Below are 11,692 nucleotides of genomic sequence, written 5' to 3' on the forward strand. Positions count from 1 at the left end.
AAGGTCATTTTCTCCGCAGGTGGGAGAAACATTACAGTCCTGGGAAAGATGCAGGTGGAAACACCGTTCTGTGCATGTGGCAGAGGTTAGCTTCAGTATCCACTGAAAACACTAGGACAGTTGGACCAAGAACAATGATTTCACGAAGAAATGGGAAGAATTATTTTTCTCCTTCTAAGTGAAACTGAATCTCGCAGCTTGATATTTTACCAGGAAGGAAGAATAAACGCTGCCGAAAGCCAAGCGTTTAGGCCCACAGGATGCCCCTCATGTGGCTATGAATGGGAGCTGCTAATGCAGAATAAATGAGAGGGAAATCCCAGAAAAGTTAAGATGAACGCCCAGCACAGGCATTCAGGATGAAGGTGACGCTCACGGTTGCCAAGGAGACCAAGATGGTCCAAACAGCAAAGAGAGCCTTCCACACAGCCAAAGCAAAACCACAAAGAATGCCGCTGTTGACCCACACACGCTAACAGTCAAGACTGAAATAGCAGAAGCATGAGTGACGTCGGCTTCGCAGGTGCACCCAGCACACCTCTAGACACCGTCTTCCCTGGTGCCCAAAGCCGGGGCATTTTCTACACCTTTAGGTCTGCTCTGGGGTTCAGATATTCAGAAGACACGTACTGTGTACACCTTGCAGCGAGCAGAGAACTCTCGGCCTGTCTGGGAGGGAGGTAGACAGTGGCAGCACAGCACAGGGAGTACTGCCAAACTGCCCAGACAAGTCTGGGAAGGCTTCCCAGAGGAGACAGCTTCTGAGCTGGGCTGTAGAGAATGCTTAGGAGTCTGACACGTGAGGGACAGAGCCAGGAAATGTATTAACTGCTAAGTGTGGGCAGCAAGTCAACCCTTCGGTTACCCTGAGCATCAAACTGAACTACCAACACTCTCTGCGCTTCCCACGAGGGTGCCCTTCCTCCCACAGCCCCATTACCACCAGATTACCACCTGCCAGACCCTACTCGCCCTCCAAAGCTCAGCTAAAACGCCCCCTCCTCTAGGCAGCCACCTGATGCCGGATGATTTTTTTCTCCCCTGAACTCCTAATGCTTCCTCAGCCCCCTTCTGCGGCACTTTCTACACTGTGCCATGTCAATCAACTCCCCACTCCGAAGTGGCAAAAAGCTGCTAATAGTGACAGTTGGGAAAATTAAATCAGAAAATATTCCTCAAAATATATATTGAGTACACAGTTTTTAAAAACCTCTTTTGTGGAGGAGGTGTCTTCTCTGTCTCTTCCATGTTGACAAGGGAACCAAGATCTGAAAACCTACTGTTCTGCTCTATCACTGCAATGAGGGTGGTTTCTCTGCTAATTCCTGTGCCTTGAAACCTGGAAAATCTGACACCATATTCCTTAAGATTCACAGCCTGTAGCTGTTAACAAAAGTTAAAAACATTTCAGAGGGAAAAAAAGCTTCGAATTTGTTTTAGAATTTTCCATTAGAACTTGTGTAAGTAGAAGATTGAATATAGATTTTTAAAAACATTCCAAAGTGAACTGGTAATGCTGGCTTGAATATACCATGCTTTCCAACTGTAAAATCCCAAATGCAATAGTTTTATGAGCAAACTAAGCAAAAGTAAATTAATTTTAAATTCCTAAACTACAGAAGTGACTTCAGACAGGAAAGGCCCCACACGTATTCCAGTGTTCCCAATGTCTAGTCCAGTGCTCTAGGAGGGGTGTCGAAACCCTGCATCGATTTAACACTTCCAGAAACGGCACGGTGCTGGCTGTGCTTCAGGCAGGTGGGATGCTTTTTGAGGGCCCCCAAGAGAACCCTGTAGTCAGGAGGGATATTCCACAGATCTCCTTTGCAGGTGTTGGAACGTCTACGCTCATGCCACTGATTAACTCTCCACAGGACACATCTCACAACCTCTTCCTGGATTTGGCCAGAAGCAGCCCCTGAATGCACCTCAACAACTTGATGGCCAAAACAAAAACCACCTGACGACCTGGCACTGGCAACCAGCCAACCTCAGGCCCCGTTACCAGAAACACCAGACAGTGAAGAGGTTCCATCTCCTTTCTCCTCCTTCCTCCCTGACATTCATGCGAGGTGGCCAGGACAAGAATTATGAGCATTTCCAGTGGGAGGGAACAGCCGCAGCACAATGTCGCTGATCGTTTGCCAGCAGGGCCTGGAGCAAGACCGGGGTTGGAACCTCAGGCCTGGAGAGCTTCCCTCATAGACACCATCTTCATCACCTCATGCCCAAAGCCAGAGCACTTTCTACAGCACAGGCCCGCCCCAAACCTTCAATAACGACTCACGACACAGCCTGTGGCCCAACCCCAGCCAATCACACCCGCCAGGCTGGAGTGCAATGGCGTGATCTCGGCTCACTGCAACCTCCACATCCTGGGTTCAAGCAATTCTCCCGCCTCAGCTTCCGAAGTAGCTGGGATTACAGGCGCCTGCCGTCATGTCCGGCTAATTTTCGTATTTTTGTAAAGATGGGGTTTCATCATGTTGGCCAGGCTGGTCTTGAACTCCTGACCTCAGGTGATCCACCCACCTCGGCCTCCCAAAGTGCTGGGATCACAGGTGTGACCCACCATGCCCGGCCAATTTTCTTATTTTTTATTCATTATTATTTTTCTTTTTTTTACCTCTGGAACATAGCACATTTTCTAACATAGCCACTGAGAGGAAAACCCAAGCAGTGGTTTGTCCTTGCTGCCTGCACAAAGCCCAGGCCCACATGCTTGTAACTCCATCTGCACAAGAGGCTCTCCTCTCCACCCAGTCCCTCTTCGGGGCGGGGAGTCCTGGCAAAACGAGTGGCAATGAAGTGCTTTTATGTTACGAGGCTGTCATGTAAAGCTGCTGATAGATTCAATCCATCTGTTCCACCTCATTTCGATTAATCCTGGGATCCCTAGGGCCTGAAACCAACTGCAATCTGCACAAGCCCAGGAGCGCCGGCTCCCCTAACAAGGCCACCCGTGTCTCCGTACCCAGGGACCAACTCGGCCCGGCCGAGGCTACCACGTCATCAGAAAACCCCCTCCCACGGAACACTTCCTAACTGCCTGTCCTTGTGGCTGCATTCACAGAAACAAACATAAGTCGGTTCTTTGTTCACAGAAAGGAAAACAAATATTTCCTTTGAGCTGACCCAGGAGGAGGAGAACCGCTGGGAAGGAGCACCTGGAAACTCAAACACCGCAGCATGAGGGCAGAGCCGCTAACTCCTGCCTCTGCCTGTAACCTACTGTGTGGCCTCAGGCAAGTCACAGTCCCTCTCTGAGCCACACCCTCATCTGTACCAGGATCAGGACTCCACAGTCTCTAAAGGACTTCAGTCTCCTTCAGAAGGGGGAAGGGAGGGGCTGGAAAAAGAGACGCTGCTGGCAAGAGAGGCACAGCACATCTTTATGGCGTTAACTCGGCTGCCAGCTCTCACCAGCAGGCAAGTGCCCACGCGTCCAGAAGAACTCAGGGAACCCGGCAGGGAGGGAACCAGAGGATGTTTCAAGTAACCCCAGGAGCTCCTGCCACCTTCCCTTTAGGGCTGGGTGATGCCCTGGATTGCTCTGTGGGCAGACCTGTCTTATCTGATGCCAGGAAGGGCCTGTTCTGAGCCCCTGAGCCAAAGAAGGGGGCGGGGGGCAGCCCCAGAAACACGGGCAGGACACGGCATTCGACTCCTTGGAAGAGAACCTCTGCCCATAAACAGTAGTTCAGGAACCATTTTACAAGAGGAATGCAAGCCGGGTCTCTGCATCGGGCTTTAGGAACGACCTGCTGCAGTGATGCCTCGGCAACCACAGGTGCGGATGGTGGGGGAGGGGAAGGCGGGTCAGTAGGTGGACACATCCGTGCATACAGACCCCAACAGCAGAGGGATGCTGAGAATCTGCATTTTAAAACCAAAAGAGCCATCAAGATTATCCATAGAGTCAGGAAACTGAGGTCCGGAGCAAAAAATGACAGAGGCGTAGCCCCACATTCAGGTCTGGAAACCCAGGTCTCCTTGCACTCCGCCCTAGGGCTCCTTATGCCATACCAAGAAGCTTGTATCCACTCAGCGGTGTCTGCTGAGTGCATGCCATGCCCTGAGGTGTGTGTTTGGGGTGAGGCAGAAGGACTTCAAGGATTAGGCTAAGGATGGAGAGAGCAGGACCCTTTCCCCACAGGACAGCACCTGCAGCAGTTCTGGGCTGCCCTTTCCTCTGTCCCTAAGTCCACCCCTCCTGGCTAAAACGACAGCATCGGTGCTCCAGTGCTTGGAGTTGATATAAGGGCCCTGATTTTATGGCCGTGAGGGATCGTATGACTGTGACTTCATGGTGGTAGAGTACTTTTTTTTTTTAAGCTTCTTGGCAAAGTCAGTATTTTTGCTGATGGATGGAAAAGTCAGTAGTTCTGCTGATGGATAAGCAAGAAAGGGGCAGAGAAAGTGTGGCCAGAGGAAACTACGGTATGCATGCAGGGTGGGCTGGGACAGGCATGACCCCCCCAGCCAGAATGAGTGTAGTGGTCCCATGGGAGGAGCCATGTGCTGTCCAGGCCCAGCCAACCTCACCCGCCGGTGGCAGGAGTACAGAGGCCGGCGGTGGCAGGAGTACAGCACAGACCAAGACCACAGTCTTGGTCCCGAGGAGCCTGTGGAGTCACAGACTGGGACCAAGACTGCCTCCCACACCCTCCAGTCAGGGGTGGCTCTAGCTGATTTCCTGGGCAGGCACCTATCTGTCCTGGGCACACCCTCCCTAGCTCAGCAGAAGCAAGGCCTTCCTCGTCCCAGCAAGTAGCTGGGCTGGGGGAACGTGGCGCCTGCCCACACAGTGTCCCATGTCCCACTCCACCGCTCACCCACCCAGGCCCACAGGCACCTATGCCAGGGCAGGGCTGGGGCCACGCCACACCCTGGCAGCCCTCACCCGGTGGCCTGACAATGCCGCTTCACTCCCAGGCACAAGTCGGAGCAGGATGGTGGAGGGCACCTAGGAGCCTCCAGCGGTAGATGGCAGCCCAGACCACCCCAGCCTGCTGGGACCTGTGAGGGTGGGAAAGGCAGGCAGTGGGGGCAGCCAGCCCCCAACCTCACGCCCCAACCTGAGCCCAGGCCTCAGGGTACGAGCACCACAGCACAAGGGGTACCAGCACTCCCGAGTGACCAGGCCTCCTTGTCCAGTGTCCCAGGGCAGGCATCTGGAGGGCAGGGAGAGCTCCTTGAGGAAGGGCAGCCATTCCCTCTCTCATTTATGCCACACTTCCCGGGCACCTGCTGGGTGTCTGATGGCATGCCAGTTGGGAGGTGGAGGGTATGAAGCCAAGACTGCTACCCTCAAAGCCAGGAAACAAAGACAAGGAGGACAAAGCCTGTGGGATGGGGGACAGTGAGGGGCCCAGGGTGTTTGCTATAGGGCCAGGCCCTGTCCTGGGGAGCTCACAGCCTGATCCCACCAGCAAATCCCACCAGCAAGTCTGGCACCCTAACAGAGGGATGGCAGGCACCTGAGCTGGGGGCACTGGGAGCAGAGGAGAGCGGGGAATCCAGAAAAGCTCCAAGAAGGAGGTGGCCGGAAGCTGAAATGGGAAAGAACAAGGAGCAGGTGACATCCAGGTAGATGGCAGTGGTGCGGGGGGGGGCGGGCGGGGGGGGGAGGCGTGTGTTAGTGCAGGGAGGGCTAGGAATAAAGGAAAAGGAAGACACAGAAGGTGCCCCCATCTTGTGTCTCTGGCTACAGTCCCACGATGAAGGACAACTGAGAACCAGATGTGCACAGAACCACCGTTCAGGGAGTCTGGACCCAGCCCTGTCTGCACGTTATCTAAACGGTGACAGCAGCAGCTTTGGAGTCCCCTCTGCCGGCTCCACCACCACGTTGCTGCTGGGCCTCGGCATCAAGCCCTGCCAGGTGGCCAGAAAGGCAGGTGGCCGGGCAGGCAGGCATCACTTAACCTAGCGACAATCAAGCCTGTGCCTGGCATGAAGTCAGGCCCCCGGAGGTGCTGGCTGAACCTGAGGCCTTTCCTAGCCGTCAGGTTTTGCTGGGCACTGTGCTCTCAACATGCTCCGGGGCGACACACCATCCTCCCTCCTGCTTCAACACAGGGCAGCTCTGCAGGGGGCAAACACAGGAAGCCACAGTCACCACAGTGAGCCCATAAAGGAAGACAGTCCCAGCTACCTGTGTGTGCGAGGAGTGGGGTCCATTCTAGAGATCCCCAGGAATGCACAAACCGTCCCCAGCCCCTGGGCTCAGGACCAAGGAGGAAGAACTGAGCTGGGACATCTGCTGGGGCCACCTTCTCTCTTCTCCCTCTGGCCTCAGGAGGGCCAAGAAAAACACACACGATACCAGTGCCCTATGGTGGTCTGGACTCAAGAGAGCTGGCTTGGACGCTATGCTGAGAACACTAGGGGCAGGTCTGGCCCTGGGAGCAAGTGTGCCACGGTTCATCAGTGACATCTGCCTGGGGCCAAGCAGAACTTGTGCTGGTCAAATAGCAAAGGATGAAGAGAAGGAAAAATTCTACACACATGGGAACCATGAGTCTCCAGCATGGATAAATAAGACTGTAATTACCCCTCCTTAGCCCCCACTCGCTCCTCCAAAAAAGCTTTCTGGAGGAAACAGACAGCAGAGCAGACATTTCATGCAAACTGGTCTCTTTTCATTACAGGAGTTTGCAGCAAAAGATCAGACTTCATCTAGAGAGCAAGAAACTCTCTATTCTATCACCAAGAATGTATTCTATAGCAGGAAACTGGGGGAGGGCATATCGGGACACAGTTGAAAAGCCGGGGAGGAGGAAGGTTCAGAAGTGACAAGTTTCTAATGACTAATATCTCGGCAGGAAGTGAAAATCTCAAAAGATGTTATCAACTTTGCAGCAGCTGTCCAAGTTGGGGGGTGGGCAGGGGTTGGAGGTGACCTGGCAGCCCAGCCGGTCCCCTGCCCACCCGCACCTGACAAAATCCTCTCTGTCCAGCCACACTTGCCTCCAATGCCTTCCTCAAACCCCTCCGCCGGCAATGATCACTTCCTCAGCAATCAGTGCCCCCAGGCCCCTCTCTCGTGTCCCTGCCTGAGTCCCACACAGGGAACTGAGATCCTCAGGGTCCCCAGGGCAGATGCTGGAACATGCTCACCTCTGAATCCCCCCAGGGCTCTGCACAGTGTGGCCCACAGCAGATGCCTGCCAGCTGCTGGCTAAATGGAACTGGCTGCGGGGAGGAAGGCTCTGGTGAGAACAGAGGCTTTTTGGGACCTCCAACTAAACGCACCCTCCCCCATCTACAGTGTAAAGAACACTTTATTTCGAACAGCAATAAATCAGCATGCTGCATAAACCAGGAGCTTGGCTAGACACACTGTGTCTATTACCTCTCATCCTAACTCTTGCAGGCAGTAGCAGGGTTAAGTCCACCAGGTATCTGCTAATGCAAGGTCCATTTGATCAATAGGTATTTTTCATTGCTTGGAATATTGGAGTAAATGAGAGGGCTAAAGAGGTAAATATATGTCACATGTGTGTGTTAAGAAGCAAAATAAAGGAACATAGGAGGAAGTGACAGAAAACATAGCTCTTACAGACAGGTGGTCAAAGAGGGCCCTCGATGAATCGTCAGCTGAACAAAATGCGAGTGTAGGGAGGGTGTGAGCCAGGTGGACGGGTGGAACTGGAGAATCCCAGGCAGAGGGAACAGCCAGGGGCAAGGGGTTACAGCCAGAACAGGCCGTGCAGTCCTGCTGAGCACAGAGCCTGGGGTGGCCCAACCGACCTTTGAGGCCATTCCAACAGTCTGGCAGCATCTGCAGTGGTCTCTGCAGTCAGGCTCATTCCGAAGCCTCAGGAGGCACAAGGAAGTCTCACACAAGTAACTCACTGTGATCCCAGGGGTAGTTTAAGCTTGGGTTCCAGGCACAGATGACTGGTAGTGGTTACCTAGAGTTCTGTGTTGAGAAGGATTCTGAGGCCAGATCTGGGCTCAGAGACAAAGAGGGCCAAGATCGGTCAATGGTGCCTGTCAGAGCCAGGAATGAAGATGTGGTGACACTCCCTTACGGAGCCCAATGGGACAGGCACTGTAACACGTATGTGGTATACAACATGCCGAGGGGATGTGGGCAAAACACCAGGAACTCTCTTCACTAGTTACGAAGCTACAGACTGAGTTTCCTCTGCTAAACCAGCCTTACTCTTCGAGTCTCCTTCTTGGGCTGTGGGCTCCTGAGGGTGGTGATCTGGGCGGTCTCGCTCCCCAGGGCTCTCCCAGGGCCTGGCACACAGCAGGGCTCAGCCATCATTTGCCAAATGAGCTAATGAAGGGCCACAGGCCCCAGGGTTAGCATGCGCGCGTGTCTGTGTGTGTGTGTGCGCGCGCGCATGTGGGAGAGAGAGAGACAGGCTGTGTGAACAGCCTGAATCTAAAGGACTGGGACAGAAACAATGCCCTTCAATTAGACCAACTGGACCCCTGCTGTGTGAGGCTCCGACCTGAGGACTCCAAAAAAAATCAAATCAGATGAAGCTTATTCTTCCTTTTTTCCTTTAAGTAGGGAAGCTTTTCTTCAGATGTGGGTGAGGTGGGGAAGAGGGGGGTGGGCAGCGGAATCAAAGAGCGTTTTCGGGGAAGGAGGGAAGGGCAGGCGCACAGACCCGCCCCGGCACCTGCTCACGAGGCAGACCAGCTGCTCTGGCTTCCCCGCAGGGCCGGCCGAGAGCCCACACTTCAGGCAAATAAAAGCACCCTCACCAGCTGTTCCCATGGCCAAGCCAAGCAGGATGGCAGTCTGTGCCAGCCCTGCCTCGGCAGCAAGTGGACTCTTCCAGCCCAAGCCACGAGATGAGGGGAGACTCAACCCTGTCCGTGCCCGGAGCACCTTCCCTGTGCGAGGCTCCTCAGGGCGAGTGGGGGGCAAATGTCTCCTTCTGATCTGACCCTTTCCAGCAGGCATGCATCTTCTTGCGTTCAATGGGGCAGGTGCCGTAACTGTGCCCATTTTACAGAGGAATAAACTGAGATACAGACAGTAAGGATGTGCCCTGGGGTCACATGACTACAAGTGGCGAGGCTGGGGCTGGAAACGTAGACCTTCCAGCCCCGCGAGTTCACAGGAGAAGAGGCTTGAACCCAGTCAGCCAACAGCCAGCAGCCCAAATGTATCTGCGGAGGAGACCTGAGGAGCTGGCAGGCGCAGAGGACCCTTTAGGCTGTGGCAGCCAGGAAAGGCCACACTTGTCACTCCCGCTGCTGCCCCCCAGGACAGGGTGACGATCATAGGTCAGGCTTCTCTCCTGTGAGCTCAGAGCCTCCTGAAACACCCAGGTGCTCGTCGCCGGGCATATGCATGTCTGGCTGGTGGTGGGGGCGCTGTCTGCTCCTGCTCCCTGACCTTGGTCGCCATCTTCTGCGCTTTGCACACTCATGACTGCCTCGATTTTATATCCACTCATGTGTTCATTCACTCACCCAACAAGCGTTTAGTGAGCCCCCGTCCCCTCAAGGCATGTGCTAGGAGCCAGGGCGTTATAGTGAATGGAAACAGATAGGACCCCTGCCCCCCAGGAACCACAGTCAAGGTAGTGAGGGACTTTTATCCACCGCCGTCTCTGGAGAGCCCACAGGTGGGAACACAGCCCTGGTGGGGCACAGGGAGGCTCTAAACAAACATTTCCTGCATGAACGCAGAGGTGAGAAGGAATGCCGGGAAGCCTGCAGCTGGGCATCCTGAGAGCCACCTGGCAGCAGAGGCAGAGAGCAGAGATGCGGAAGAGTGGCTGGTGCTGTCTGTGGGGAGGCCCAGGGGTCCCCTGGATGGTGCCCTCCCATGGGGGCCACGCACCCCCAGGTAAGCCCAGTGTCGGTTCAGCCCCCAGCTGGCTGCCCACGACACCCAGGCCTGCCGAGGTAGGAAAGGATGTCTGTCTCTCAGTCACACTGCCGAGCCCCTGAGGTTAATATCCCAAAGTGACTGCCACAGCCCCGGCCACCCAGACCTGGGAAAGTGGGGCTGGCCCCAGGACATCGTGAAGAACTGCTCCGGGTGGGCAGACCAGCCACTCCACACCCACCCGAGCAAAGCTGCCTGCCCGCCCCCCCTCCCTAACCAACTGCCACAAAGTGGCTCTCACCCTGTGTCCACTGAGACACTGGTCTTGAAGAAAGGAGAAAAAACAAAGAGAAACAGAAACCATGAAAAAGCACCCCCACCTGAACAAACAAGCTCATCCCACCTCAGACTGCCTGCCCTGAGCTTTTCTCAGGAGGAGGGGGTGGCAGTGGCCACTGAGGGCTGGCAGCATCAGTTGCCAGGGACAGGGCATGGGTGCCACGCGAGCCCTTCCACCCATTCCTGTGTGGCAGGCTGAGACATGAGCTTACTCTTCCACCGCGGAGCTCCCAGCCTGAGGCCTGCTGTGAAGATGACAGTTCACGCGCATGAGAGCCGGAGCGATGGTGCTGAACTGCTGACGATCTATGCCACTTAGCTCTGAGGTCGGCAGGCGCGGTTATTCACTCCCTGAACCAGCGAGCAAGTGGAGTTCAGGGGGTTAAGGGATGCACCCCGGCCACCCGAGCATGGGACGCATCATGGGACTCGTCGTCAGTTCTTGAGAGTCCAGATCTCTTGCTAAATGCAGATGGCCCCCCCCCGGTGCCACTTCAAGGTTCTGACTTTTTTAACCCACAGGATTCACAGTATAATCATTATGTACCCAGAAGTGCTAAGAACCATGGTGGGGAGGGTTACAAGATGCACCCCTGAGAATTATGTTCATCTGTGAGTAACAAAGACCTTAAAAATTGTGACTTACACAAGATTGAAGTTTCTCAGGAGACAGGCAGCCCAAAGCTGCTATACGAGCCCCCCAGTGCTGGGTGTCAGGGACCAGTCTCTGTCTGGTTGCCCCTCTGTGGGGACTGGACCTCCAGCCATTACGCTGCAGTGCGTGCAGCAGGAAGGAGGAAGGGGGAAGGGAGGCGCGCTGCCTCCTCCTTCTAGGAAGGCTTCCCAGGAGCACACGACGCTGCTCCATACATGCCATGCAGCCACATGGCACTGCCTAGCTGAGGGGAGACTGGGGGTTCTTTAAGTAAGGAAGAAGAGGAGAGTGGTACAGAATTGGGCAGAAATCTGCCACATTAGAGGAGATAAAACATGACCTCTGGCCCTGTGGAGATTACCAGCTCATTAAAAGACACACGCACATGTGGAAATGATTAGTGGGTGAGGCCATCTATAACAAGGCAATAATTGTGTGACACAGATAGGAAACAGTAGTTGAGGAAGTGCAAAGCCGCAAGCTGGCAGAGGTCACTACAGCCAGCAGGCATCCTGAAGTGGGGAGGCCTGAGCTGGAGGGACAGGGGGTGACAAGAGAAGCAGGGGAAAGAGTAACTGGAAAAGCAGACTCCACCCCCTCCCCCAGTGAACGCCAGGCCATCACAGCCTCAGCTAAACCAGCTTGGGGCCCGGGGAGCGCTGGGCCTGACATGCAGGGAACTGGGTTAATTGTTCATGGCAGTCCTTGGCTCGGGACACTCATCTTTGGTTTGCACATGGCCCACTTCCACTTAGTCACTTTTCACAATGTAATAACCACCTGCACACCCACCAGCTGAAACAAAGGCTAGGGCCTTGACAATAACCTACAGCCAACCAGATGGCGCCCCCAGCACACTGCCACCTCCTGCCACCCAAGACACCAAAAAC

The 11,692-nt window shown here is 54.7% G+C and overlaps 1 protein-coding gene and 1 long non-coding RNA gene across 5 annotated transcripts in view, besides 6 other annotated features; one reads left to right on the forward strand and one right to left on the reverse strand.

Annotated features, from left to right (window-relative positions):
• The window catches only part of CCDC88C (coiled-coil domain containing 88C), a 146,498-nt gene that overhangs the window by 95,600 nt on the left and 39,206 nt on the right, over positions 1-11,692 (reverse strand). The window lies entirely within an intron of this gene.
• Positions 554-633: an enhancer, noted in NCBI's record as "active region_8910". NCBI's record gives its function as "activates an Ori minimal core promoter by ATAC-STARR-seq in GM12878 lymphoblastoid cells {active_cell/tissue: GM12878}" and the evidence as "EXISTENCE:reporter gene assay evidence [ECO:0000049][PMID:35858748]".
• LOC107984673 (uncharacterized) lies at positions 2,617-7,329 on the forward strand. Its single transcript, XR_001750858.2, has 2 exons — positions 2,617-3,790; positions 5,714-7,329. It is a non-coding gene; the product is annotated as an uncharacterized LOC107984673 (long non-coding RNA).
• Positions 4,831-5,443: an enhancer, noted in NCBI's record as "H3K4me1 hESC enhancer chr14:91838097-91838709 (GRCh37/hg19 assembly coordinates)". NCBI's record gives its function as "activates a minimal SCP1, AML or CMV promoter by ChIP-STARR-seq in naive and primed H9 embryonic stem cells {active_cell/tissue: H9 hESC(naive and primed)}" and the evidence as "EXISTENCE:reporter gene assay evidence [ECO:0000049][PMID:30033119]".
• Positions 7,047-7,116: an enhancer, noted in NCBI's record as "active region_8911". NCBI's record gives its function as "activates an Ori minimal core promoter by ATAC-STARR-seq in GM12878 lymphoblastoid cells {active_cell/tissue: GM12878}" and the evidence as "EXISTENCE:reporter gene assay evidence [ECO:0000049][PMID:35858748]".
• Positions 8,579-9,251: an enhancer, noted in NCBI's record as "NANOG-H3K4me1 hESC enhancer chr14:91841845-91842517 (GRCh37/hg19 assembly coordinates)". NCBI's record gives its function as "activates a minimal SCP1, AML or CMV promoter by ChIP-STARR-seq in naive H9 embryonic stem cells {active_cell/tissue: H9 hESC(naive)}" and the evidence as "EXISTENCE:reporter gene assay evidence [ECO:0000049][PMID:30033119]".
• Positions 10,168-10,427: an enhancer, noted in NCBI's record as "active region_8912". NCBI's record gives its function as "activates an Ori minimal core promoter by ATAC-STARR-seq in GM12878 lymphoblastoid cells {active_cell/tissue: GM12878}" and the evidence as "EXISTENCE:reporter gene assay evidence [ECO:0000049][PMID:35858748]".
• Positions 10,601-11,274: an enhancer, noted in NCBI's record as "H3K27ac-H3K4me1 hESC enhancer chr14:91843867-91844540 (GRCh37/hg19 assembly coordinates)". NCBI's record gives its function as "activates a minimal SCP1, AML or CMV promoter by ChIP-STARR-seq in naive H9 embryonic stem cells {active_cell/tissue: H9 hESC(naive)}" and the evidence as "EXISTENCE:reporter gene assay evidence [ECO:0000049][PMID:30033119]".

Source organism: Homo sapiens, chromosome 14 (assembly GCF_000001405.40).
Source record: "Homo sapiens chromosome 14, GRCh38.p14 Primary Assembly".
NCBI classification, from domain to species: Eukaryota; Metazoa; Chordata; class Mammalia; order Primates; family Hominidae; genus Homo; species Homo sapiens.